Source organism: Homo sapiens, chromosome 18 (assembly GCF_000001405.40).
Source record: "Homo sapiens chromosome 18, GRCh38.p14 Primary Assembly".
NCBI lineage: Eukaryota > Metazoa > Chordata > Mammalia > Primates > Hominidae > Homo > Homo sapiens.
In genome coordinates this window covers 58,755,079-58,780,224 of record NC_000018.10, presented here as the reverse complement: position 1 = coordinate 58,780,224, position 25,146 = coordinate 58,755,079, and the positions used below count along the sequence as shown (strand labels likewise).

At 48.8% G+C, this 25,146-nt stretch overlaps 1 long non-coding RNA gene across 3 annotated transcripts in view, besides 5 other annotated features; it reads left to right on the top strand.

Annotated features, from left to right (window-relative positions):
* Positions 1–6: 6 nt before the first annotated feature.
* The window catches only part of LOC105372146 (uncharacterized), a 107,606-nt gene continuing 82,466 nt past the window's right edge, over positions 7–25,146 (top strand). For all 3 annotated transcript variants that reach the window (XR_935537.3, XR_935536.4, XR_007066391.1), the window contains exon 1: positions 7–67. This is a non-coding gene — a long non-coding RNA (uncharacterized LOC105372146). The remainder of the gene's footprint in view (positions 68–25,146) is intronic.
* Positions 4,765–5,266: an enhancer, noted in NCBI's record as "H3K27ac hESC enhancer chr18:56442191-56442692 (GRCh37/hg19 assembly coordinates)". NCBI's record gives its function as "activates a minimal SCP1, AML or CMV promoter by ChIP-STARR-seq in naive H9 embryonic stem cells {active_cell/tissue: H9 hESC(naive)}" and the evidence as "EXISTENCE:reporter gene assay evidence [ECO:0000049][PMID:30033119]".
* Positions 11,304–11,453: an enhancer, noted in NCBI's record as "active region_13403". NCBI's record gives its function as "activates an Ori minimal core promoter by ATAC-STARR-seq in GM12878 lymphoblastoid cells {active_cell/tissue: GM12878}" and the evidence as "EXISTENCE:reporter gene assay evidence [ECO:0000049][PMID:35858748]".
* Positions 11,534–11,683: a silencer, noted in NCBI's record as "silent region_9488". NCBI's record gives its function as "represses an Ori minimal core promoter by ATAC-STARR-seq in GM12878 lymphoblastoid cells {active_cell/tissue: GM12878}" and the evidence as "EXISTENCE:reporter gene assay evidence [ECO:0000049][PMID:35858748]".
* Positions 15,802–16,071: an enhancer, noted in NCBI's record as "active region_13402". NCBI's record gives its function as "activates an Ori minimal core promoter by ATAC-STARR-seq in GM12878 lymphoblastoid cells {active_cell/tissue: GM12878}" and the evidence as "EXISTENCE:reporter gene assay evidence [ECO:0000049][PMID:35858748]".
* Positions 18,193–18,242: an enhancer, noted in NCBI's record as "active region_13401". NCBI's record gives its function as "activates an Ori minimal core promoter by ATAC-STARR-seq in GM12878 lymphoblastoid cells {active_cell/tissue: GM12878}" and the evidence as "EXISTENCE:reporter gene assay evidence [ECO:0000049][PMID:35858748]".

The following is a 25,146-nucleotide window of genomic DNA, read 5'->3' as shown; positions in this document are numbered from 1 at the left end:
TTTCTTCTTTCTACTGCTCCGCCATTGTGAGGGCGTGCTTGCGTCTCCTTCGCCTTCTGCCATAATTGTAAGTTTCCTGAGGCCTCTCAGCCATGCTTCCTGTACAGCCTGTGGAACTGTAAGTCTATTAAACCTCTTTTGTTCATAAATTACCCAGTGTCAGGTAGTTCTTCATAGCAGTGTGAGAACGGACTAACGCACATACTGAGCATAACTCACTGCCTATCACATCATATGTGTTCCTAATGGTAGCTGCTTATGCATATAAGTAATAACGATGCTTGGGAGCAATGTACATTTTCAAGTGCCTTGGAATTTTATAAGGACTCATTATAAGGCATCAGAATTTTCAGCTATAAGAATTTTTATTTATGAGGAAGTTTAAGTTCTTTCCAAATACTAACCCATGAGTCTTTGCAAAATCCCCTGGAAGTGACTGACCAGAAAGGGAACGCTGGCCGACCATTAATCTGAGTAATAGAGTTAGGACAAGGTACAGGCAGTTCTTCAAAGCCTCCCTCAAAGTCTGGAGCAATAAAACTGTTGTAAACAATTTGGTATTGAACTGTATGTTCTAGGTAAAGGCGGACTTATTTGCCTCAACACCGGCAAGGAATACAGTTGTGAAAAATGACTCAGGATTAGTCCACGAGCAGGGTGACAGGGAGGACTGGAGGGCTCACATCGTCCCTTCTTTTCCTCCCCAGTATTTGAATATAGGTGAAATCAAGTCAATGTGAGGATTAGAGGAGGATGTAGGATAGGAGTGTGGAAAGCGACATCGGGTGGGCTTTCAGGGCCTTGGAGAGGCAGGTGGGTTCTTGTGCCTGTGTCAGTCGTGGTGGTGAAGAGTTAAGTGCAGCTCTCTGAAGCTGAGTTGCTTCCCCCTAAGCTGCCTGTGAAGCTGGAAACTAGGCTGTTTACCTCTTATTTCTCCTGGGTCAGAACTCTAAGCACTTTCTGTTGGAGACATTTCTTTTTTTTTTTTTTTTTTTTTTTTTTTGAGATGGAGTCTCACTCTGTTGCCCAGGCTGGAGTGCAGTGGCGCAATCTCGGCTTACTGCAAGCTCAGCCTCCCGGGTTCACACCATTCTTCTGCCTCAGCCTCCCTAGTAGCTGGGACTACAGGCACCCGCTACCATGCCTGGCTAATTTTTTGTATTTTTAGTAGAGACAGGGTTTCACCTTGTTGGCCAGGATGGTCTCGATCTCTTGACCTCGTGATCCATCCGCCTCGGCCTCCCAAAGTGCTGGGATTACAGGTGTGAGCCACTGTGCCTGGCCTGTTGGAGACATTTCTAAGTGTCCAGAAGAAAGGCAAAAAAAGAAGAGTGAAAAAGTTTAGAGTAAGTCTATCATCTATGCATGTGACTGTTAGGAGTAGAGCTTAAGGCCACATTCCTTGCCACAGAGTCTAATTCCAGCTTGTTCTTTGTCTCCTTTTACCTGTCTTTAAGCTTTTTTTTTCCTTTGGAGGCAGGGTCTCCCTCAGTTGCCACTGCTGGAGTGTAGTGGCGTGATCATGGCTTACTGCAGCCTTGAACTCATGGGCTCAAGCGATCTTCCTGCCTTAGCCTCTGGAGTAGCTGGGACCAGAGGTGCGTGTCACCACGTCCAGCTAATTAATTATTATTTTTTTTAAATTTAGAAACAGGGTCTCACTATGTTGCCCAGGTTGGTCTCAAACTCCTGGGCTCAAGTGATCCTCCCACCTCAGCCTCCCAGAGTGTTGGGATTACAGGCATGAGCCACTGTGCCCAGCTGAAGCTTTTTTTTTTCCTTTTATTTTTTTCTTTTTTTTGAGATAGAGTTTCACTCTTGTTGCCCACGCTGGAGCGTGATGGCTTGATCTTGGCTCACTGCAACCTCCACCTCCTGGGTTCAAGCAATTCTCCTGCCCTCAGCCTCCTGAGTAGCTGGGATTACAGGCATGTGCCACCATGCCTGGCTAATTTTGTACTTTTAGTAGGGATGGGGTTTCACTAAGTTGGTCAGGCTGGTCTCGAACTCCTGACCTCAGGTGATCCATCTGCCTCAGCTTCCCAAAGTGCTGGGATTACAGGCACGAGCCACCATGCCCGGACCCCAGCTGAAGCTTTTTTTAAAAAGCCTTTTTATCTTAAGATGATTTAAAGCTTACAAAAGAGTTCCCATCTACCCTCCACCTAAATTCCCCTAAAGTTAGCATCTTAACATCAGGACAGCCCTCTTTACTAAACTGCAGACTTTATTCGGGTTTTACCAGTCTTTCCATGAATGTCCCTTTTGTGTTCCCAGATCTCAACTACACATGGCGCGTGTAGTCGCTTGTCTTGTCTGCTTAGCCTCCTCCTACCTGTGACAGTTCCTCTCTTTCCTGACCTTGACCCCTGACACTTATTCTGCAGACCGTCTTTCAGTTTGAGTTTGATGTTTTCACATGATTAGATGGAGGTTATGCCTTTTTGCAAGAATATCTCAGAAGTGAGGTTGTGCTCTCTTTAGCAGGCCACATCAGGGGCATGTGATGTTGACATGTCTCATTACTGGTGATGTTACTTTAGCCATATGACTAAGGTGATGTCTGCTGGTCTCTCCTCCAGCCTGTCTTTGAAGACAGCATGGCCCCTCACAGCTCCAGGACAGCCCCAACCCCAGCCAGAAGGACGCTTCTGGGAAGTTCATCTTCACCTGCAGCTCTTAGAGTCGAAAATAGGCTGCTCAGAGCTGAGCTAGGGCCCAAGTGGGTGCTCTGTAAACCTGCACGTTTCTAATTTGATAGAATTGATTATTTCAATTGAGGTTCAAGCTGATGATTACATGAAAATAAGCCAGGTGAGGTGGTTCACACTTGTAATCCCAGCACTTTAGAAGGCTGAGGTGAGAGGATCACCTGAGGCCAGGAATTTGAGACCACCTGGGCAACATAGTGAGCTCCGTCTCTACAAAAAATTAAAAATTAGCCAGGTGAGGTGGCACACCTGTAGTTTCAGCTACTCGGGAGGCTGAGGCAAGAAAATTGCTTGAGCACAGGAGGTTGAGGCTGCAGTGAACCGTGATTGCACCACTGCGCTCTGGACTGGGGGACAGAGGGAGACCCTGTATCAAAAACAGTGATCCCACCTAAGAGATGAAGGAGCTGATGGATTTATGCTCTAACTCATATCAGTCACTGGTTGAAGAGGCGGGAGTTGGTGTGAATCCCTGGGTACCTCCAGGCTGCTGGGTACATAGGCAGAACCACCTCTGGAGAAAACCCTTAGGAAACAGATGCAGATATTGGCATTTGGAAGAGCACATTGAAGTGGTGAGCCCTGCAAGATATGGGCAGAGTACCAACATCTGCTATAGGAAAGAAAGAGAAATTATGTAAGTGTTGTTGTTGTTGTTGTTGTTTTTTGTGTTTTTTTTTTTTTTTTAGAAAGTCTCGTTCTGTTGCCCAGGCTGGAGTGCAGTGGTGTGATCTTGGCTCACTGCACCCTCCGCCTTCCGGGATGAAGCAATTCTCTTGTCTCAGCTTCCCAAGTAGCTGGGATTACATGCCTGGCTAATTTTTTTGTATTTTTAGTAGAGACAGGGTTTTACCATGTTGGCCAGACTGGTTTTGAACTCCTGACCTTAAGTGATCTGCCTGCCTCAGCCTCCCAAAGTGCTAGGATTACAGGTGTGAGCCACCGTACCTGGCCAAAAATTACATAAGTTATATATTTGTGTTAGTCTTTTTGTGTTGCTATGAAGAAATACCTGAGGCTAGATTGTTTAAAGAAAAGAAGTTTATTTGGCTCACAGTTCTGCAGGCTGTACAGATAGTATAGGGCTGACATTTGCTTCTGGGGAGTCCTCAGGAAGCTTATCATGGCGGAAGGCCAAAGGAAGCCAGTCTGTCACATGGCAAGAGGAGGAGGAGGTGCCAGCCTCTTTCAAACAATCAGATCTCATGTGAACTCATAGAGTGAGAACTTGCTCATTCCTGTGAGGACAACACCAAGCCATTCATAAGGGATCCGCCCCCATCACCCAAACACTTCCCACTAGGCCCCACCTACCACATTGGGGATCACATTTCAACATGAGATTTTGAGCGGACACATCCAAACCATATAAACATTTAAACCCCAAAAGGGGTATGTGTCCTGTTCAGCTTCCTGAAGTTATTCATCTTAGTCCCCTACCAGCTAGCACAGTGCCTGGCATGGAGTGGGTATTCAGTATACATATTTCATTGTTGAGGGGAAAAAGTTTCTCAGGAAAGGGCAGAAAGTGCTGAGAAGGTCTCATGTCAGGAAGCAGCAAGAGCTGTGCATAGAAAAGACTGCAGCCGCCAGGCACGGTGGTTCAGGCCTATAATCCCAGCACTTCAGGAGGCCGAGGTGGGTGGATCATCTGAGGTCAGAAGTTTGAGACCAGCCTGGCTAACCTGATGAAACCTTGTCTCTTCTAAAAATACAAAAATTAGCTGGGTGTAGTGGTACGCACCTGTAATCCCAGCTACTTGGGAGGTTGAGGCAAGAGAATCACTTGAACCCGGGAGGCAGAGGTTGCAGTGAGCCGAGATCACACCATTGCACTCCAGCCTGGGCGACAGAGCAAGACTCTGTCTCAAAAAAAAAAATTCTTAGATAGTTCTGGAGAACAGAAATCTGAAGTCAGTTTCACTGGGCTAAAGTCAAGGTATTGGCAGGGCTGTTTTTTTCTGCAGGCTCTGAGGGGAGACGCTTCTTGGCAGCTTCCAGCTTTCATTAGCTGCCTGGGTTCCTCAGCTCATGGTCTCTTCCTCCGTCTTCAAAGAGCATCACTGCAGTCTCTCCTCTGCCGTCACATTGCCTTTTTTTTTTTTTTGTTATGAGATGGAGTCTTGCTGTGTCGCCCAGGCTGGAGTGCAGTGACCTGATCTCGGCTCACTGCAACCTCTGCCTCCCGAGTTCAAGTGATTCTTGTGTCTCAGCCTCCCAAGTAGCTGGGATTACAGGCACGTGCCACCACACCTGGCTAATTTTTTGTATTTTTAGTAGAGACAGTGTTTCACTGTGTTAGCCAGGATGGTCTCGATCTCCTGACCTCGTGATCTGCCTGCCTCAGCCTCCCAAAGTGCTGGGATTACAGGTGTGAGCCGCCGCACCTGGCCTGCCTTCTTTCTTTTTTTTTTTTTTTTGAGACAGTCTCACTCTGTTGCCAGGCTGGAGTGCAGTGGCGCGATCTCGGCTCACTGCACCCTCCACCTCCCGGGTTCAAGTGATTCTTCTGCCTCAGCCTCCTGAGTAGCTGGGCCTATAGCCGCCCACCACCACGCCCAGTTAATTTTTGTATTTTTAGTAGAGATGGGGTTTCACCATGTTGCCCAGGCTGGTTTTGAACTTCCGGCCTCAAGTGATCTGCTCGGCTTGGCCTCCCAAAGTGCTGGGATTACAGGCATGAGTCACCGTGCCCGGCTGCCTTCTTTGTGTCTGGTTCTTCCCACATTCCTGCTATAAGGATGCTTGTGATGCCATTGGCCTATCCAGATGATCCAGGACAATTTCCCCATCTTAAGATTAATCAGCTGCAGAAATCCCTTTTGCCATATAAGGTAACATTCACAGGTTCTGAGGATCAGAATGTGGACATATTTGGGGGCTGTTTTCAACCTCTGTCCCTGGGAAATTGAAGCAAGGAGACTGAACGACATCAAGCAGAGGAAATTCTCTGTAATATGGAATCCTTCCATAACATCAATCCCTATAAGGCCAAGGACTAAGGACTCTTTCAGCCATGGGAGTTTGCATGTGCGAATGGGAGCTGTGTATCTTGATGTGTTCCCCACCTTGGGGGCGAGGAGGGCATTCCCAGGACTTTCCTGAGCTATGGACAGTTTGAGGCCTGGGAGCCGCACAGGTTTCTTTCTCTAGAAAGCAGCGGAAGCCCTTTGAAATCCATTCAGCTACCAACTGGGTGGGCCATGCAGGGCCACTGGGAGCTACCCTTGGCTATGGCAATCACTGAGAATGGAAAATGGATTTCAAAACAACCAAAGTGCATCGAATTAGTTCTTTTTGGCTGCCTCTGGTGAAACTGTTTCTCGTGTTGGTTTAGTAAGAGCAATCCTGCTGGGAGCTGCATACACCAAGTGGAAGTCTCTCCTGCTTCTCAAGTAAATCAGTTTTTTTTTTTGTTTTTTTTTTTTTGAGATGGAGTCTTGCTCTGTCACCCAGGCTGGAGTGTAATCGTGGGATCTTGGCTCACTGCAACCTCTGCCTCCCAGGTTCAAGCGATTCTCCTGCCTCAGCCTCCTGAGTAGCTGGGATTACAGTACCCACCACCACGCCTGGCTAATTTTTGTATTCTGTTTAGTGGAGATGGGGTTTCACCATGTTGGCCAGGCTGGTCTTGAACTCCTGACCTCAGGTGATCAGCCCACCTTGGCCTCCCAAAGTGCTGGGATTACAGGCATGAGCCACTGCGCCCAGCCTTTTTATTTTTAATGTAACAGAGTTTAATTGAGCAAGGAACAATTCACAAATCGGGCAGCCTCTTGAGCTAGAGTAGGTTTAGAGAGACTTCAGCGCAGCTGTGTGGTAGAAGATTTATAGACAGAAAATGGAAATGGACTTACAGGAGATGGAAGTGAGATGGAAGTGAGGTAAGAAACATCCGGATTGGTTACAGCTCGTGTTTACCTTATTTGAGTAGTTTGAACAGTTAGCCCCCTTTGACCGAAACTAGGTGGTTGGCACAAGAGTAGGCTACAGTCTGTTGACACCTCCATTTAGGTTATAGTTCATTATGTACAGAGAAACCTGTAGGCTGAACTTAAATATGTAAGGAGGCAGATTTAGGCTAAACTTGATTTAACAGTTCCCCACTTTTGATCATCCTCTTGATTTTGAGAGATTGACCGAAACCTCCAGCATTGGTATCACTATCTTAAGTGTTCTTATTCTGTCTTGTAACCCACTGGGAAATAGCAGAATAGTGGGTTTTGTAAGGTGAGAACAAGGACAAGATAAGAGTTCTTGGGCCGGGCGCAGTGGCTCATGCCTGTAATCCCAGCACTGTGGGAGGCTGAGGTGGGTGGATCACAAGGTCAGGAGATCGAGACTGTCCTGGCCAATGTGGTGAAACCTCATCTCTACTAAAAATACAAAAATTAGCTGGGTGTGGTGGCACATGCCTATAATCCTAGCTACTCGGGAGGCTGAGGCAGGAGAATCGCTTGAACCAGGGAGTCGGAGCTTGCAGTGAGCCAAGATGGCGCCACTGCACTCCAGCCTGGCGACAGAGCGAGACTCCATCTCAAAAAAAAAAAAAAAAAAAAAAAAAAAAAAAAAAATTCTCAGCAGAGGCAGCTGCTTCAGAATGCCTCCGAGTTTCCAACATCCCAGAATCGGCACCACTGGAAAGGAGTGGAGTCTCTCCCTTCTGAGAGAGGAGGTGGCATCCACGTGTCCCAGAACCTCTGAGATGGTGCTGATTGCAAATCTTCTGTCCTGTTGTTAGCTCTTGTGGTAGATTCTAGAACCAGATCTGACCCAAGGACACTGAGCAGCTGGACTCTTCCTCCTCACAGCATGAATTGTTGGATTTATTGCTGCCCCCTCTCCTAATATTGTGGCTGTGAAGTCCCCAGTGGGAGACTCTTTACAGAAACCGTGGAAGGGGAAAGGTGGCCTCTTGGGTCACCACTGAGATTGTCACATCGCCTATCACAACCTCAGCATCCCACTGGTCAGTTCCCCTTTCCCTTCGAAGGGGTTTGCTACATCTCTACAAAGTGTCAGATGGCCCCAGGTTTAGGATAAGCACATGTTCCCTCTTCAAAGTGTTTATCTTTAACAGAATTCTTTCAATCTCCTTGATTGTATCAGGGCAAAAAAATCTTATTGAGGGATGTATTAGGAATCTGTTAGGTTGCAAAATCCAAAAAACTCGACTTCTGCCAAGTTAAACAGGGCAAGGTTTCTCAACCTCAGAGTTATTGTCGTTTTGGGTTGATGCTCTGTGTTATGGGGGGCTGTCCTGTGTATTGGAGGATGCTTTGCAGAATCCCTGGCTTCTACCCATTACCTTAGTGATTCTCAAACAGGGGCAATTGTGTTCCCCCAGGGAGCGTTTGGCAATGTCTGGAGATATTTTTGGCTGTCACAACTGGAGGTGAGGGGTGGAAGTTGGTGTTACTAGCAGCTAGGGGGCAGAGGCCAGGGATACTGCTAAAATATCCCGCGATTCTCAGGAGAGCTCCCAGCAACAAGAAATTATCGGGCCTCCGGATGCCAGTCATGCCAACGTAGAAAAACCGGGTCTGAGGGAATGGAAATGGACATTGACGTTGATCCAATAGGATGCGAGGAGAAAACCCCCAGAAGAGTGACACCCCCCCAAACACAGAATTCATATCCTATTCCCTCTGCAAAATCTGACCCATTGCTGAGAAAGCCAAAAATAGTTGGTTTTAACTGATGAGTGCTGGGATAAGATTCCTCACTGGCCTACTCCCTGAAAAAAGGGATTGCATTTTTTTTTTTGAGATCAAGTCTCACTCTGTCACCCAGGTTGGAATGCAGTGGTGCAATCTCGGCTCACTGCAACCTCCACTTCCTGGGTTCAAGTGATTCTTTGTGCCTCAGCCTCCTGAGTAGCTAGGATTACAGGTGCACGCCACCATGCCTGGCTAATTTTTTGTATTTTTAGTAGAGAGGGGGTTTCACCATGTCAGTCAGAACTCCTGACCTCCAGTGATCTGCCCACCTCAGCCTCCCAAAGTGCTGGGATTACAGGTGTGAGCCACCGCACCCGGCTGGGACTGCGAAACTTCTAAAAGCCACCAAATGCAGCTGCACTGGGCCATGTGAACCTTGACAATATTCTGAAAAATGAAACAGATCCTGAAAGAACCAGATACAAACACAGCCCACCTGAGCAGCAGGCAGGGCGGCCTCTGTGTTCTTTCTTCCTTATTATCCAACATCTGTTGAAATGCTTCGGCCTCAAAGTGCAATCAAATATCACCAACTTGTATATACAAATGAAAATAATGAACAGATAACAAAGGGAAAAAGGAAAGTGTATAAGCATAAATGCCTCAGCTGCAAATTGATCCAGTGCTGGGCATGAAAGACTATATTTTTTGTTCTCTGATAAGTATAGCTAAGTGATGATAAATAAATAGAAGTGGGTTGTCACCAATTAGCATGGCTACTTGTTTCCTTCTCACGCTGCTTCCCCAGTGAAAATGCAGTAGGTATAGGTTGAGGGAGAAGGTCAGCTATGGAGTGAAAGAAAGGAGAGGTTAAAGTCATGGTGTGCACAGCTGCTGGGTGCACCTGAAATAACATTGTTTTCAAAACTTTTTCTTTTCTACCTACCACTAGCTTGAAATATAAGAGCTCATATGCTTCTTTAAAATCCAAGTACAGGAAAAAGGAAAACCAGACCACACTTCCGGTTCTACTTTTGCTCTCTGCTCTTCTGGTGTTATCAAGAGATAACACCACCTCCCTGGGCTGTCCTCTCTCTGGCCATGTGCTCTCAGGCTCAAGTCCCTTAAAGAGCTGGACAGCAAAGTCAAGGATGAAGGAGAAGGGACAGGCAAAGGAAGGTCTTCCATAGGCAGCACATCCCAAGACATGTGTGTATGAAAACATTCTGGATTTTCTCAAGTCCTTTGGCAACATTAAATTTTTTGTGTGTGTGTACTAAGGCTGAAACAGAAGGACTGGTGGAAAGAGGATTGTTGGTGAATGCACGTAGACAGCCTGTGGTTGCATTGATAAGCCTTGTTAAAGTATTCATGTGAAATTTTACTGTCAAAATGGAGAGATTTAGGGCAATTCTAGGTCCCCAAGACCAGTGACTCTGACATTATTCAAAGTTGACGGACTGGGCTAGGTGCAGTGACTCCCACCTGTAATCCTAGCACTTTGGGAGGTCGAGGCAGGAGGATTGCTTGAAGCCAGGATTTTGAGACCAGCCTGGGCAACATGGCAAAACCCTGTCTCTACAAAAAATGTTAAAATTAGCTAGAGCATGGTGGCATGCACCTGTAGTCCCAGCTACTCTGGAGGCTGAGGTGGGAGGATGGCTTGACCCTGGGAGTTTGAGGCTGCAGTGAGCCATGATTGCACCACTGTGCTCCAGCCTGGGTGACAGTGTGAGACCCCATCTCAAACCAAAACCAAGAAAAAAATTAGCAGACTCACCCTTCCACAAGCTTCTGAGCCTCCCAGAGTGGGAACTGGCTCAGTCTATACAGCTCCCAGCACAGCATCAGGCAAGGGTGCCATCATAAGCCATGTTATTGGAGCCAGTCTGCCTGGGTCCAAATCCAGGCCCCACCATTTACTTCCCCTGTGACCTTGAGCAAGCCAGCTAGCCCTCAGGGCTTTGATTTTCTCCTCTGTAAAACAGGGATAATAGCAGCATTTCCACTGCAAAGACCTGAATGAGTAAAATGGTTAGCACTGTGCCAGGCTCATAGCGCTCTGTAAGTATTAGCTGTTATAATTATTAGGGGTTCAAGTTCTGTCTTGCTCAGCTTTCCAGCTCATTGAAGGCTAAAGACCCAGTGCATTAATTGCTCAAAAATTTGTCGTAATTGCTTGGAACTTTTCATTTACATCCTGCAAAGATTATTTCTGCCATAACATTGCAAAGTTTTCAAATAGCCTTGTTCCCGTTTCTGAATATGGGCAGGGATCCCTTTGGGGTGCTCACTGACCACTCCCAGATGAGCCATGGGTTCTGTCTGGGCTGTGTATGGGGAGGGCGTGGAGGGTGGCATGACGGATGTACAGAGTGGAAGCCCTCAGGACAGAGGTGCCCTGGAAAGTTCGTAAGGCACAGCGGCTGCAAAACCTCTCACGCCCACCTTAGAATTCCCAATGTACTTTCCTCAGTCTCCAGGTCTGTCTTTTCCTTATAGTGTTTCTCAGTGTCTCATTCTGTACGTGAGAAATCCCAGTAAAAATCGAGAGTGGGAACAATGCAAAATAGAACTGTATACTTAAAAATGGTTAACATGGCAAATGTTATGTTTTACAAGAATTAAAAATAATAGTTAAAAAAGCCGCAATTATAAAAACAAAAAACTAGAGTAGGAGGGACCTAGGGACCTCTATTCATGATTTGACATCCAGTTTGGAGAGGCCAGAGTCAGGGAAGCTCCCTGCCAGGATTTCAGTCCTTTTTGTTTTTCCCTGCTGGGTGGGTAGTTTTCAAAACTCCGCTAGAATCTAAACGCTTTTGCTTCCGTGCCCTGCCCCCTGCCCCAGGGGCCCCAGATGGGTATCTGGTTGACTGTTCTCAAGGCAGGGGCCTCCCTCCCAGGAGATTCGGTGGAGCTTTTTGATATTTCTCTGCCCTTTGGCAGCATCACAGGCATGGGCATGGGAGAGGAGGGAGCCGGCCACTTGTCCTGGCCTGTTGATGCATGCCCGAGTCTGGCTGTCATCCCAGCCGCGCTGGCTGCTGTCCCTCGGTCTTCCTGAGGGCCCCCAGGCCTTCTAGGTATTGTATTGAGCCACGAGCTGGACGGGGAGGACCTGGATGTGCGTGGGAGCTCGCGGGTGGGTGAGAGCGCACCACTGCTCCGTGCGCTGCGCAGCTGCAGGGCCCCGGGCAGGTGCAGACGGCGCTCAGACCGGGACGAACGCAAGCCTGTGCTGCCCTCTGCTGGGTACCCAGCTCCCGGCCGGCCCCGAGCTCAGAAGGCGAAGGGAGACCCAAGGCCAGGCTGGGGCCCACGAAGCCGGGCTCCTCTAAGGGGTGCACCCAGCTCCCAAGGCCCCCGGGCGGACTTCGAGCAGTCCCCGCGCGGGGGCCCCAGGGTTTCTCGCTGGGCCCATCATGCCCTCTGGGCTAGGTGGCCAGGACTGTGCTCTCTTGCCTAGGGACCGGGTGAGCTCGAACTGTCCCCATGGGGCGGCTGCGGCTCCTGCAGGCTGTGCCGTCCTGGGCTCCTTTTCCGACATTGCCACCTGCCCCATTTCCTTTCCAAAGCAGAGGTGTAGGCGCCTGCCCACTATCAGTCCCTCTTTGTTGCAAGAGGCTCTGAAGGGCCCTCCCGCCTCCAGACCATTCATTCCCGTCTGACTCTGCAGCCAGACAGATCTTTCCAGAACATTAATCTGATTCTGTCATGCCCTGGCCTGACCTCCTTCAAAGTCTGCCAATTGCCAAGAGGGTCATTACAAAACTCAGCATGAAATACAAAGGACTTCAGATCTGGTTCCTGCTTCTCTTCCACCTTTTAACCCCCAGCATTATGGTCTCTTATGTCTGTCATCTTCCTGTCGAGACCAGAGGCCTTGCGCTCTGGAGCCACACAGCCGGAGTCCTTTCCCAGCTCTACTATTTGCTAGCTGTCTGACCTTGGCCGAGTTTCCTCTCTCTCTCTCTCTCTCTTTTTTTTTTTTTTTAAGATGGAGTCTTGCTCTGTCGCCCAGGCTGGAGTACAGTGGTGCGATCTCTGCTGGTTGTAACCTCCGCCTCCCAGGTTCAAGCAGTTCTCCTGCCTCAGCCTCCCAAGTAGCTGGGATTACAGCTGCACACTACCACGCCTGGCTAATTTTTTTGTATTTTTAGTAGAGATGGGGTTTCACCATGTTGGCCAGACTGGTCTTGAACTCTTGACCTCAGATGATCTGCCTGTCTTGGCCTCTCACAGTGCTGGGATTACAGGCGTGAGCCACCTCGCCAAGCCCCAGAGTTTCCTCTCTTGCCTCAATTTTTCATCTATAAACTGGGGATGATAACAGTAATATGCTTCATAGGGTTGTTGTTAATATTATTTGTATATAGAATATATAAATATATGCAAAGCACTTAGAATAGTATCTGGCACATAGTAGGCACTTTATAAGTGTTAGTCAAGATTATTCACTGAAAATGTGGGGTATCTCAGTATGTTGCCCAGGCTGGAGTGCAGTGGCTGTTCACAGGAGTGGTCATGGCTCACTGCAGCCTCGAACTCCTGGCCTCAAGGGATCCTCCTGCCTCAGCCTCCCTAGTAGCTGGGACTACAGGCACGTGCCACTGTACTCACTGCAACGTCTTCCCTTTGACTTCAACTTCTCCTGTTCATCTGATGACTTGAATAGCCATTTGAGCAACCTATCCAGCAACCTCAGATCAGTTCCTCGATCTGAATCCCAGTGACCTTCACTTCCAATTTACTCAATCCACCCCCACTCATGACCACCCCAGAACTGGCCAGCACTTACACTAGCAGAAGTGTTTTCGAAATCTTACACTTCAGTATTCCACCTTCTGACAACGCCCACCTATCCTTCCAGGTATCGTAATGTAAATGATTTTTTATTTGCTCATTTTCTTTCCAGGTTATCCAGTTTTTTTGCCTCTCCTTTTACTATCAGATCTTTCTAGCTTTTAAAAATTTTCCTGAGTGTATACATTACTGATCCCTTGAACTTTTTTCAAGTTCTTGAACTCTCTTGCACATCCATTCCCTCATTTATTCACTCAGTAAACATCCACTGAGCGTCAGGGACTGTGTCAGGGACGAGGACACATGATGTCTGCCCACAGAGCTTAGAGTGAAAGAAGGCAAAAAACACGTTCACAATTATACAACTTTGCATGAGAAAAATGCTGGGAATGAAAGCAACAGGCTGCCAGGTTGGAGAATAAAGTGGAGAACTGCAAGAGGAGAGTCTTCAGGGATGGCTTCAGAAAAGGTTCTTTGAATGTCACCAAATTGAGGCCATATGGAAACATTGACGAGGATGGTTTTTTGTTTTTAGGAGAAAAGTGTTGGGATTGAAACACTTTCAGAGTTAGTAAAAGTGGACTGGGTGCAGTGGCTCTGATGCCTGTAATCCCAGCACTTTGGGAGGCCAAGGTGGGTGGATCCCTTGATTCTAGGATTTGGAGACCAGCCTGGGCAACACAGTGAGACCCCATGTCTACAAAAATTTAAAAATTAGCCAGGCATAGTGGCACATGCTTGTGGTCCCAGCTAATTGGGAGGCTGAGGTGGGAGGATCTCTTGAGCTCACTGTGATTGCGCCACCGCACTTCAACCTGGATGACAGAATAAGACTCTGTCTAAAAAAACAGAATTAGTAAAAGTGACAAAGTAGAGATACAAGTAGAAATAGAGATGGCTCACCTAGGCTCTGTTTTGGCAGTTTAGAGAGGGGAAGCAGAGAAAATGGCAGATACTAGAGCAGGCAGGACTGGCTCCTTGTTAAAAAATTATTAAGAATTTAAAAACAGTGACGGCAGAATATTAAACCAGGCACAGGGTGCTGTGTGTCTGTAGAGGTCTCATGCCCACGAAGCTGGCTCTGACAGCATGCCTGTGTGCCAGTGAGAATAATTGGTCAAAATGAGGCATATTGATCATATTAGAGGGGAGATAACCAAAGAAATGAAATTTAGGAAAGACAAAAAGGAGATGGAGAGGCTGGGCATGGTGGCTCACACCTGTAATCCGAGCACTTTGGGAGGCTGAGATGGGAGGATCACTTGAGCCCAGGAGGTTGAGACCAGCCTGGGTGACATAGCAAGACCCTGTCTACAAAAATAAAAATAAATTAGCTGGGCATGGTGACATGTGCTTATAGTCCAGCTACTCGGGAGGCTGAGGTGGGAGGATTGCTTGAGCCCAGGAGGTTGAGGCTGCAGTGAGCTATGATTATACCACTGTACTCTAGCCTGGGCTAGAGAGTGAGAACCTGTCTCTAAAAGAAAATAAATAAAAGGGGATGCAACCCAGAGTCTACGTGGAGGGGTTAGACAGGAGTGACAAGTCCTCCATTGTAACAGGAAGAAAGAAAACTATCGATGCAAGAGGGTTAATAATACGCTGTGATGGCTTCAGTTTTTCAGTGACGGGTGAAGCAAGGCTCTCAGGAGTGGGAGGGTAGGAGGAGAAGGAGAATGAGGGGCTTAAGTAGAGAGAAGTGTGTGGAAGTTGGTGGGGGTTGGAGTTTTGCCAGTTGAAAGTAAAAGAATGGATCAGGGGAGTTGGTGTTTGTGAGAGCGAATAGACGAAACAAAGAATCTGGTTAGACAAGAAAATAAGTCGAGATTTGAGTGAAATAAGAGGGGTCAAGTGTTAGCATCTTGATTCTGGTGACTTGTGATATTGAAGGGGCACTTGAGAAAGTGGGCTGAAAGATAGGGCTTTGTAATCAGAGAGGACAAAATTTAAATCCATGATTTTGGAAGAGTGTAATTTTTGTGATGACAAGGTCCAGGATATCTCTTGGGTGGTGTATGGTTGGGTTACAAGAAGTCTCTGTGGATGAGGAAGCCAAAGAGCCAAGAGAAGAATTGTGTGGGTCATCAACGTGGAGTTGAAATTACCAGGAATGATGAGGGCATAGGATGGAGCTAAGCTTTCAGGTCAAGTGCTAAGTCTTCACTCTTCTCTCAAGATGGGAAAATAATGCACCATTAAAATTATTTTTTCTGCTAGGCACGGTGGCTTACACCTATAATCCCAGCACTTTGAGAGGCTGAGGTGGGAGAATTGCTTGAGCCCAGGAGTTTAAGACCAGCCTGGGCAATATAGCAAGACCCATCCCTACAAAAAATAAACAAAATTAGCGGGGCATAGTGGAGAATCACTTGAGCCCTGGCGGTCGAGGCTGCAGTGAGCCGTGATCAAGCCACTGCACTCCAGCCTGGGTGACAGACACCCTGTCTAAAAAAAAATTTTTTTTTCTTGCAACAGCATTTCTAAGTTTTGCGAACTCCTCTCTCCTCCCACTTCATTAGAGAGATCAAATCTCCGTGGGACTGAAGGGGGCACAGTTCTTCCTTTGAGCCAGGAGGGGGAGCAAGAGACTGCAACAGAAGGCTCTGAATCTAAACGAAGCCTTTCGGAAGACAAAGGGGTGGATCACAAAGGAGCTTGCGGTTCCCCTCCGCCTTTCTGCATTAGTTTCCTAGGGTTGTTCTAATAAATTACCACTAGCTTGGGCCTTACAATAGTGGGCATTTATCCTCTCATAGCTGGAGTGCAGTGGCTCCACCTCCTGGGTTCCAGCAGTTCTCCTGCTTTAGCCTCCCAAGTAGCTGGGACTACAGGTGTGTGCCACTGCACCTGGCTAATTTTTGTATTTTTAGTAGAGATGGGGTTTCACCATGTTAGCCAGGCTGGTCTCGAACTCCTGACCCTCAAGTGATCTGCCTACCTCAGCTTCCTAAAGTGCTGGGATTACAGGCGTGAGCTACCACGCCGGGGCCAATGATTTGCTTTTTTAAAAAAACAAAAACCAAACAGCCTCAGAAATTTTGAACTACTTTCTCTAAAAGAAACCAGCTTTATTGAGAAATAATTCACATGCCAGACATTCACCAATTTAGTATATTTGTAGATCATTGATCATCACAATCAATTTTAGAACATTTTTTTATCACCCTAAAAGAGTCCCCATACCCATTGGCAGTCCCTTCCGGTTTCTCCCACCTTCCCGGGCCCCCAGTCCCTGGTAGCCTACCCTATCACTAGAGATTTGCCTTTCCTGGACTCTTCACAGAAATGGAGTCAGACAGTAGAAATGCAGTCTTTTAAATTATTTATGGGCCGAGCTGGGCGCTGTGGCTCACGCCTGTAATCCCAGCAATTTAGGACGCCAAGGTAGACAGATTACTTGAGGTTAGGAGTTTGAGACCAGCCTGGCCAACATGGTGAAATCCCGTTGCTACTAAAAATGCAAAAATCAGCTGGGCATGGTGGTGCACACCCCTAATCCCAGCTACTGAGGAAGCTGAGGTAGGAGAATCAATTGAACCCAGGAGGCAGAAGTTGGAGTGAGCCGAGATCATGCCACTGCACTCCAGCCTGGGTGATAGAGTGAGATTCTGTCTCAAAAATTAAAAAAAAAAAAGATTTATGGTGAACAGCGGGTTAGATGTCATTCTTTTGATTTTAGGGTTGTATTCAAGTATAAGACTCATTCTTTTCACAATGAGCGGTTAGAGCAGCAAAGCTGTAGATATCTGAAGACTTTGAGAGCTTAGGGAATAGGAGGATCATCTGGGGTCCCCCCTTTCTCTCTCCTTCCCCCGCAGCCCTCTCCTTTGCCACCAGCAGCCGAGAGAACAGTCTTGGGGGAAAGAAAACACAGAAGCTCAGTGCTGCGGGGAGAGGGGAATGAAGGCGTGATAAGAGACATGCGGGGGCTGTTCCTGGCTCGCTCACCTCCTTGTCCTCTTCCTCACCGAAACCACAGAGTCTCCCCCAGCCTTGCAGCAGAAGTGTGGTCGTGCCTCTGCAGTAAGCTGGGTGTAGGACTGGCTGGCCAGCATCTGCAGTCTATGCTGAGTACCTGTGCCTGGGTGACCCTTCCCCCGCGACTCCAGTGTGACCTTCCTTCCCAAGCCTCTTGTTGCCCTGGGGTCTTCCACATTCAGCTGTGTCAAGCTCAGGGAATACAGGAGGAAAATGGGATCGCCTCAAAGTTAGGGGCTGGGGGATGAGTTGCCGCAGGTACTAACAGGCAAACCTGCCCTGTTCCTCCAGCCGGGTGCCAGTGGTAGTTGACAGGGAAAGGGCCCTTGAGGAAGAGAGCAAGTGGGGAGAGAGAGGGAGAGACAGAGAGGATGGAGAAGTTGGAGGTCTCTGTGGTGGCCCAAGGGGGCAGTGGGGCCTGGAGGAGGTGGTTGGGCATCTGCTCCCACTAACCCATGGGCCACCTGGTCCCTTTGCCACGGACCCTGCTATGGGCAGCCATGGTGGGGTGGAGGCGTGTCCCTGGCACCCCCATGTCTCCCCGCATGAGTTTCCTGAGGAACCTGTGGGCATCCCGACGCCCTCTGGGTTTCACCTGGAGGACCACTGCTCACAAGTGGCCTCTCCTTATTTCTTTGAGCAACTTGAACTCTGTGAAAAGAACGTGGGCTCCACGGAGGCCTGTGCCAGCGGAGACAGGAAACATCACCGCTGTTTTCAAGATGGTTCCATTCACTCTTTGTCCTAGTGACCCTGTACTCAGCTCCCATTGTGATGGCTTGGGCGGGGGGATGGGCATGTTTTCTGGATAGTTCCACTGCCTCTGCCCCACTGCATGCAAGCCTGGTCAGCCTGGTGAGGGAGGGCATGCTCAGGCCCCCACCAGCCCCGGGCCTGCTGTCCTTCAGTGGCCTGTGTTCTGAAGACACAGGTGCATCTCTGTCACCCACTACCCACCAAGTCACAAACACCTGGGGCGGGAAGGAAGGTAAATGTTCCTCAAGGGATAGTGTGTATATGAGGGTGGGGTGCGTGGCTGGGAGGCGCACAAATGGCAGCATCCACTTAGGAGCCTGTACCCATCTTCCAGCAGGTCAGCACGGCTGAAGCCAGCAAATTTGTTGTGTTCTCTGGGCCTTAGCAGTCACGACCTTGGACCACGAGATGTGCCCTTGTCGCATTTATTTAAAGAGTTGAAATCTGAAAGGTGCATTAGAAATCGTTCTATTTATAGAGTCACTCTAAATACACTGTGGTGGAAGATGGCCAAGAGCTATTGTGAAGTGAAAGTAGGAACTGGAAAACGGTGAGCTCAGCATGATCTCACATATGCACATATGTGTACACCTGTGTGTATACATGTATAAAAGATATCTGTACACATGTATGTGTATAATACTCATACGTGTGTGTGCATATGTGTGTGTGTGTCCATATGGTCTGGAGATTTATATGCATAATACAACCGGAAGAAATATACACTGAAGAGATAGCATTATCTCTTGAAAGTGAGATTGGGATTATGTGGGGAGGGGAACTTTTAAACATTAATTTACGGAAAAGAAACGGAAAAATGTTCTGGTTCAGTCTAGCCAGGGTAAGTTTGAGACCTGGGCCCCAGGGTGACTTTCACCTCAACCACTGCTCTCTGCCAGTGCCACGCTGCCTGTGGCCTGGCCCTTGCTGTGAGTGTTTACGACCACAAAATTTACTTTTCCTGGAAGTGGTTTCTTCTGATGGCTGGAGAATGTTTATGACATTGTCCATCTCTGTTTCTCCTTAATGAAATTGCCTGGCAGCCGCGGTATTTTAGAGAAGTCTTAACCCCTACTCACTCTCCATTTAGCTTTCCATTCCATTTTCCATGGGAATGGCTGCTCTGACATCAGAATAGGCAATGGCAGCAGGAAGCAGTATCATCAAAGGTGCGAGTTTGAACTCTGGGGAGAGAGGTGTTCATAGGGTAATTTTTGCAACAGTTGGAAAATGCTCTACTGGACAGGGCTGGCTTTTGCTAAGAGGCTCAACAGGAGTTGGTCCATGTGCTGCATTCTCATTTTCACTCCCCAGTTACTCCCTGGGCCACCTGCCTGCCGCAGCACCTGAAGTCAAGTCACCAGAGGCTCAACTTTCTGGTCCATGTGTGGCTGTTTCTTTTTCTATTTATTTTTGTATTTTATTTATTTATTTTTTGTGATGGAGACTTGCTCTGTCACCAGGCTGGCACGATCTTGGCTCACTGCAACCTCCGCCTCATAGGTTCAAGTGATTCCCCTGCCTCAGCCTCCAGAGTAGCTGGGACTACAGGCACGCGCCACCATGCCCAGCTAATTTTTTTGTATTTTAGTAGAGACGGGGTTTCACCATGTTGGCCAGGATTGTCTTGTTCTCTTGACCTCGTGATCCGCCCATCTTGGCCTCCCAAAGTACTGGGATTACAGGCGTGAGCCACTGCGCTGGCCATGTGTGGCTGTTTCTAGGAGAGATTTCTGTCTCATTCCTTCTCTTCCTTTTTTCTTTCTCTCCCTCAAAATTTTCCAATGTTCCTGGGAGGGCTAGTCAGTCACAACTTACAGTGGTGTAGTAGTGGGCTCTCTGCCTGAAAGCTGAGGAATTGGGACTTTAGAGTGGATGAGTGGAGGCATCATTTGGGAGAGGAAGGCAGTGACTAGAAACTAGGTGGCAAGAAGGCATCTTTTTGCACTTCTGCTCACCCCATCTCTTCCCCATAGCAAAAAGAACTGCAGTAAATTCTAGGGATTTGCAGTGTTGACATCGAGTCCCCAGGGTGTCCCAGCAGAAGGGGTGGCAGCAACGGTGGGCTGTTTCCACTGAAGGGAAGACTCCACCTCAGGAAGAAATAAACGGCAGCAAGGTTTTTTGGGCATGTGGCATCTGTGAGATCTGAGGGGATCAGATAATGCCCAGGAAGAATTCTGAAAGCAAATGAGAACATTCAAAAATGCTCATTGACAGCACAGCCATGTAAAGATGATCTGGGAGATCTTAAAGGAAGCATTTTTCCAGGGATGGGGAATCTCAGGTTGGCTTCGCAAGGTTGGCTGAAGCGAGAGCCAGTGCCCTCTCCCTGGACCGCCTGCTTAGGTTAGGATGCACGTGTGCCTCCCTCACTAAGGTTTCATCAGTCATTCTTTTTTTTTTTTTTTTTTTGGGAGACAGTCTCACTCTGTCACCCAGACTGGAGTGCAATGGCGTGATCTCAGCTCACTGCAACCTCCGCCTCCCAGGTTCAAGTGATTCTCCTGCTTCAGCCTCCCAAGTAGCTGGGATTACAGGCACCTGTCATCATGCCTAGCTAATTTTTGTATTTTTAGTAGAGATGGGGTTTCACCACATTGGCCAGGCTGGTCTCGAACCCCTGGCATCAGGTGATCCACCCGCCTTGGCCTCCCAAAGTGCTGGGATTACAGGCATGAGCCACTGCGCCCAGCCAGGAATTCATTCTTTAAAAAGGTCTGAAGTATCTCAAAGTAGATTGTAGCCGCCATACACTGAACAAACAAAAAGGCATTCTTCAGCCGGGCATGGTGGCTCATGCCTGTAATCCCAGCACTTTGGGAGGCCAAGGCAGGTGGATCACCTGAACCCAGGAGTTTGAGATCAGCCTGGCCAATGTGGTGAAACCCCGTCTCTACTAAAAATACAAAAATTAGCTGGGCATGGTGGCGCACGCCTGTAATCCCAGCTACTTGGGAGGCTGAGGCAGGAGAGTCGCTTGAACCTGGAAGGTGGAGGTTGCAGTGAGCTGAGATCATGCCACTGCACTCCAGCCTCGCAACAGAGCGAGACTCCATCTCAAAAAAAAGCATTCTCCATTTTTCATTCATCTCATAATTGAGGTTGGATTGGGAGACTGAGGCATGAACAGGATGTGAAGGAATGGAGATGTGGGTGTAGGTGGTGTTATTGAGTAGTGTGGGAGAGAATGAGGGAGAGTTGAAGAGGGCACCCGGGATTGAGAAATGCCTTGTGGGGTGATGTTGTAGCCTCTGGTCAAGAAGCCAGTGTCCAGGGAGAGGCTGTATATATCAGAAAGGGAGGACAATGTGAGCCCCACGGATGAGCGAGCAGGGGCAGGTCCTTAGGGAGTGCTTCTATGAATTTGGCATCCTGGGTGAATTTGGCAACAGATGGGTAAAAACCCAGAGGCTGACAGAGGAGATGGGATCTCATGTGAAGCTCAGCCCTGGAGAAGTATCTGGAACTCTGAGCTTGGTGGGGGCGCAGAGTGGGGTGGGAACGAGAGAGCATGGAGGCTGGGGACGGGAACGGGGCGTGGGCTCCTATGGCCTCTGTGTCTCCATGGAGTGAGCTGAGTGGTCGTCTGCTGAGATGAGTGTAGTGGGAAAGAGACTGGGACTCCAAGGAGAGAGCTTAAGCTCCAGCTCTTGGGCGTGCCCTGCAGAGTCTGCCTGATGCTGGAAAGGAGGACAAGGAGAGGTGGTGCAGTGCTGAGGGATAGGGCCCCTGATGGGGCAAGCCGAGGCTCCCTGGGAATGTGCAAAGGGGAATTTTATCCAATTTGGAGGCTGAGCAGTAAGTTTTTCTGAAGGATGTGTCACTTAAGGTACAATTTGAAGAAAGAAGAGGGGTGAGCCTGGCAAAGTTTTTACTGGAAGGAGGTCTTGATCCAGACCCCAAGAGAGTGTTCTTGGATCTTGTGCACAAAAGAATTCAGGGTGAGTCCATAAAGTTTATCAAAGGAGTTTATTAAGAAAGTAAAGGAATGAGAGTAGTTACTCCATAGGCAGAGGTGTGGCATGGGCTGCTGGACGGAGTATATTCATGGTTACTTATTGATCATATGCAAAACCGGGGGGGGTTGTTCATGAGTTTTCTGGGAAAGTGATTTCCTGGAACTGAGGGTCCCTCCCCTTTTTAGACTACATAGGGTAACTTCTGGACATCGCATGGCATCTGTAAACTGTCATGATGCTGGTGGGAGTGCCTTTTAGCATACTAATGCATTATAATTAGCAAATAAGTAGCAGTGAGGATGATCAGAGGTGACTTTCATCACCATCTTGGTCTTGGTGGGTTTTGGCTGGCCTCTTTACTGCATCCTGTTTTATTGGCATGGTCTTTGTGACCTGTATCTTGTGATGCCAGTCCTGCCAACCTCCTATCTCATCCTGTGACTGAGAAGGCCTAACCTCCTGAATGCAGCCCCTATTCAAGATGGAGTCACTCTGGTTCAAATGCCTCTGACAAAGTGAGGAAGGCATTCCAGGCAGTCAACAGCAGGCATGATACTCCAGAGTGAGAGAAACTCAAGTGTCCTGGGGTGCAGTCATGATTAACCTTCAACAAGGAGAGGTTTGGCCCTTATCCCCAGCTCCCAGGAGGCAACCTCTAAGCCCTTGGAATTGCCTCCCTGATAAGAGTGCGTTTATTTACCTGGGGGCCTTGGGCCCCACCAGATAGTCTCTGCTAACAATGTGACCTATGGGGGGCCCTTGGACCAAGTGGTATCAGCTTGACCTCTGCAGGGGCTGGAAACCAGGATCAGCCAACTGGGCGGCCAGCCATGTCTGGGTGACCAGCCCCTAGTAGAAACCTTGGACACCAATGCTCAGGTGAGCGGCCCTAGCTGGCAGCACTTTGTGTGTTTCGGCACGCATCGTTGCTGGGAGGAGTAAGCACTGGCCGTGCAACTCCACCAGGGGAGGATGATGGAGGGGGTGCCTGGTCTCTCCTGGCCTCTGTGCACGTGGCTCTTCCCTTGCTGATTGGAGTTTATGCCTTTCACTGTGATAAACCATAACCATGAGTGTTATGGCTTCTCTAAGTTCTGAGTTGTTCTCGTGAATTAATGAACCTGATCTTCCAGTGGAATGGGGTGGGCGGGAACCAGATTGGCTCATGATGGCCTGTGATGTCCTAGAGTAGCCAGGTCAGAGGTGGGCCTTCTCATTCAGGGAAGGTGATGAGCCCAGTCTGGCTGGTGCAATCCGGGGTCATTGTCAGGAGTCATTCATGCCAACACATGGTTTAGTCTCCGTTCTGTGTGCGTTTTTGGGTGAAATGCACACAGAAAGCACTGTTCTCTGTCTCTAGGTGGCTTCCTGTTGAGGGGACCAGGGAGGATGCAGTGAGAGAGATGGCCTGTGAGCTAGTCTCTGAGGTCCCCTTTAGGAATTGGTAAATAACACAGCCCCGAAAGGAGAGGGACTTGGAGAAACCCAATGCTGGCTGGGGTGGCAGACTTGCCCCTGAAGCCTTTGGGTTGGACCCAGCTTTGTGGGCTCATCACCTTCCCTGAATGAGAAGTCCCACCTGTGACCTGGCTATTCTAGGACATCACAGGCCATCACGAGCCAATCTGGTTCCCGCCCACCCCATTCCACTGGAAGATCAGGTTCATTAATTCACGAGAACAACTCAGAACTCAGAGAAGCCATAACACTCATGGTTATGGTTTATCACAGTGAAAGGCATTGACTCCAATCAGCAAGGGAAGAGCCACGTGCACAGAGGCCAGGAGAGACCAGGCACCCCCTCCATCATCCTCCCCTGGTGGAGTTGCACGGCCAGTGCTTACTCCTCCCAGCAACGATGCGTGCCGAAACACACAAAGTGCTGCCAGCTAGGGCCGCTCACCTGAGCATTGGTGTCCATCTCCCCAGGCTTAGCTCCCACGTGCCCTCTGCCCTCTAGTCTCGTCTGTTGCTCTGCCCCTAGTGCTGGCCCCAGAGGTCCCCAGCCTTCCTGCTGAAGTGCCTGGGCTCCTGAGGAATGGAGTCCAAGCTTCCTCACATTCAGCCAGCAGCACTGGCCTGGGGCATGGATCACATACCCTTTGGGGAGCGGGTGAGTCCTCCAGGAGTAGGTCCCGCACTGCCCCACTGTCCTCTCACAGCCCCACTCGGATTATGTATTTGGAGATGGGCTCAGGGAGTCTCAGCTCTAGGCTTACTGGTGACCCCAGGCCCTGTGGCATCTGGTCAGGAAGCTTCTGTGCAGTGTAGGCCAATAGCCAGCCTCCCTTTTAAGTGGCATTTTGAAAGCCAGCTGCTCCCATTGGCTCACCTGAAGACATCCCTTCTCCTGCCTCTCCTCAGCAGGGGCCTGCCTCCAGGGTAGCTCGGCCGAGCAGAGCATCATGGAATGGTCTTCCTTATCCTCCTTCTCGACATCATTTGGTGATGTTCTTTTCAGTCTACAGGCAGAATCAATCCTATCTAATAATGGTTGTGGTCTCCTCAGCCCTCAGCCCTCCACTCTCTGTTGGCCAGTCTAGCTTGGGCCTTGGTGGCCAGTGTTGGTCACGTGCTGCTAACAAGGGGCCAGGACACGAAAATGCCGGAAAAGGTAATTTTGCGAGTCACATCGTGGGTCAGGCCTGGGTGTGAAGTCAGCTTACACAGCTAGAATGGCTCCAAGGCAAGTCTGCGAGCTGAGTAAATGGATTATTGTAGCTACAGCAAACTGTCAGAAAGCACCTCGGGCAGCAGACATTGGCAGGGTCCTGTAAGTGCTGTCCAGGACAGAGAGACTCTTAGCTTGGAAGCATTCAGCCTCACTGGCAAGGCTGGCCAATGAGAGGGACATTTGGCTCATCTTAGCCTGCTGTCATTAACCATCAGGTTCATCTAGACGATCCCCTCCCCGCCCCACCCCGTGTTCCTTTTGTGCTCATAAAGCCTTGGACTATGATGTGGCTTTCTGCACGTATACTTCCAGGAAGAGCGTGTCTTAGCATGCCAGCCCTGTGTACCCCCTATCTGACCTTCCCCCAACAAGCACACTTCTCCCTTGCAGGTGAGAGTGCCACTGCACACCTTGAAACTGTATCCCCCACAAAGCTATAACTGGGCCAGGTGATGCCAAAGTACAAAATCAGGTTTTCAGACACTTAATACCTAGTTAGCAATAACAACTGATTCCAATGGGAAGATACCACATGGTGCTTCGCCTTGTTAATAACACCTGCTAGCAAGCCACATCTTGAATGACAAAGCTGATCTGGG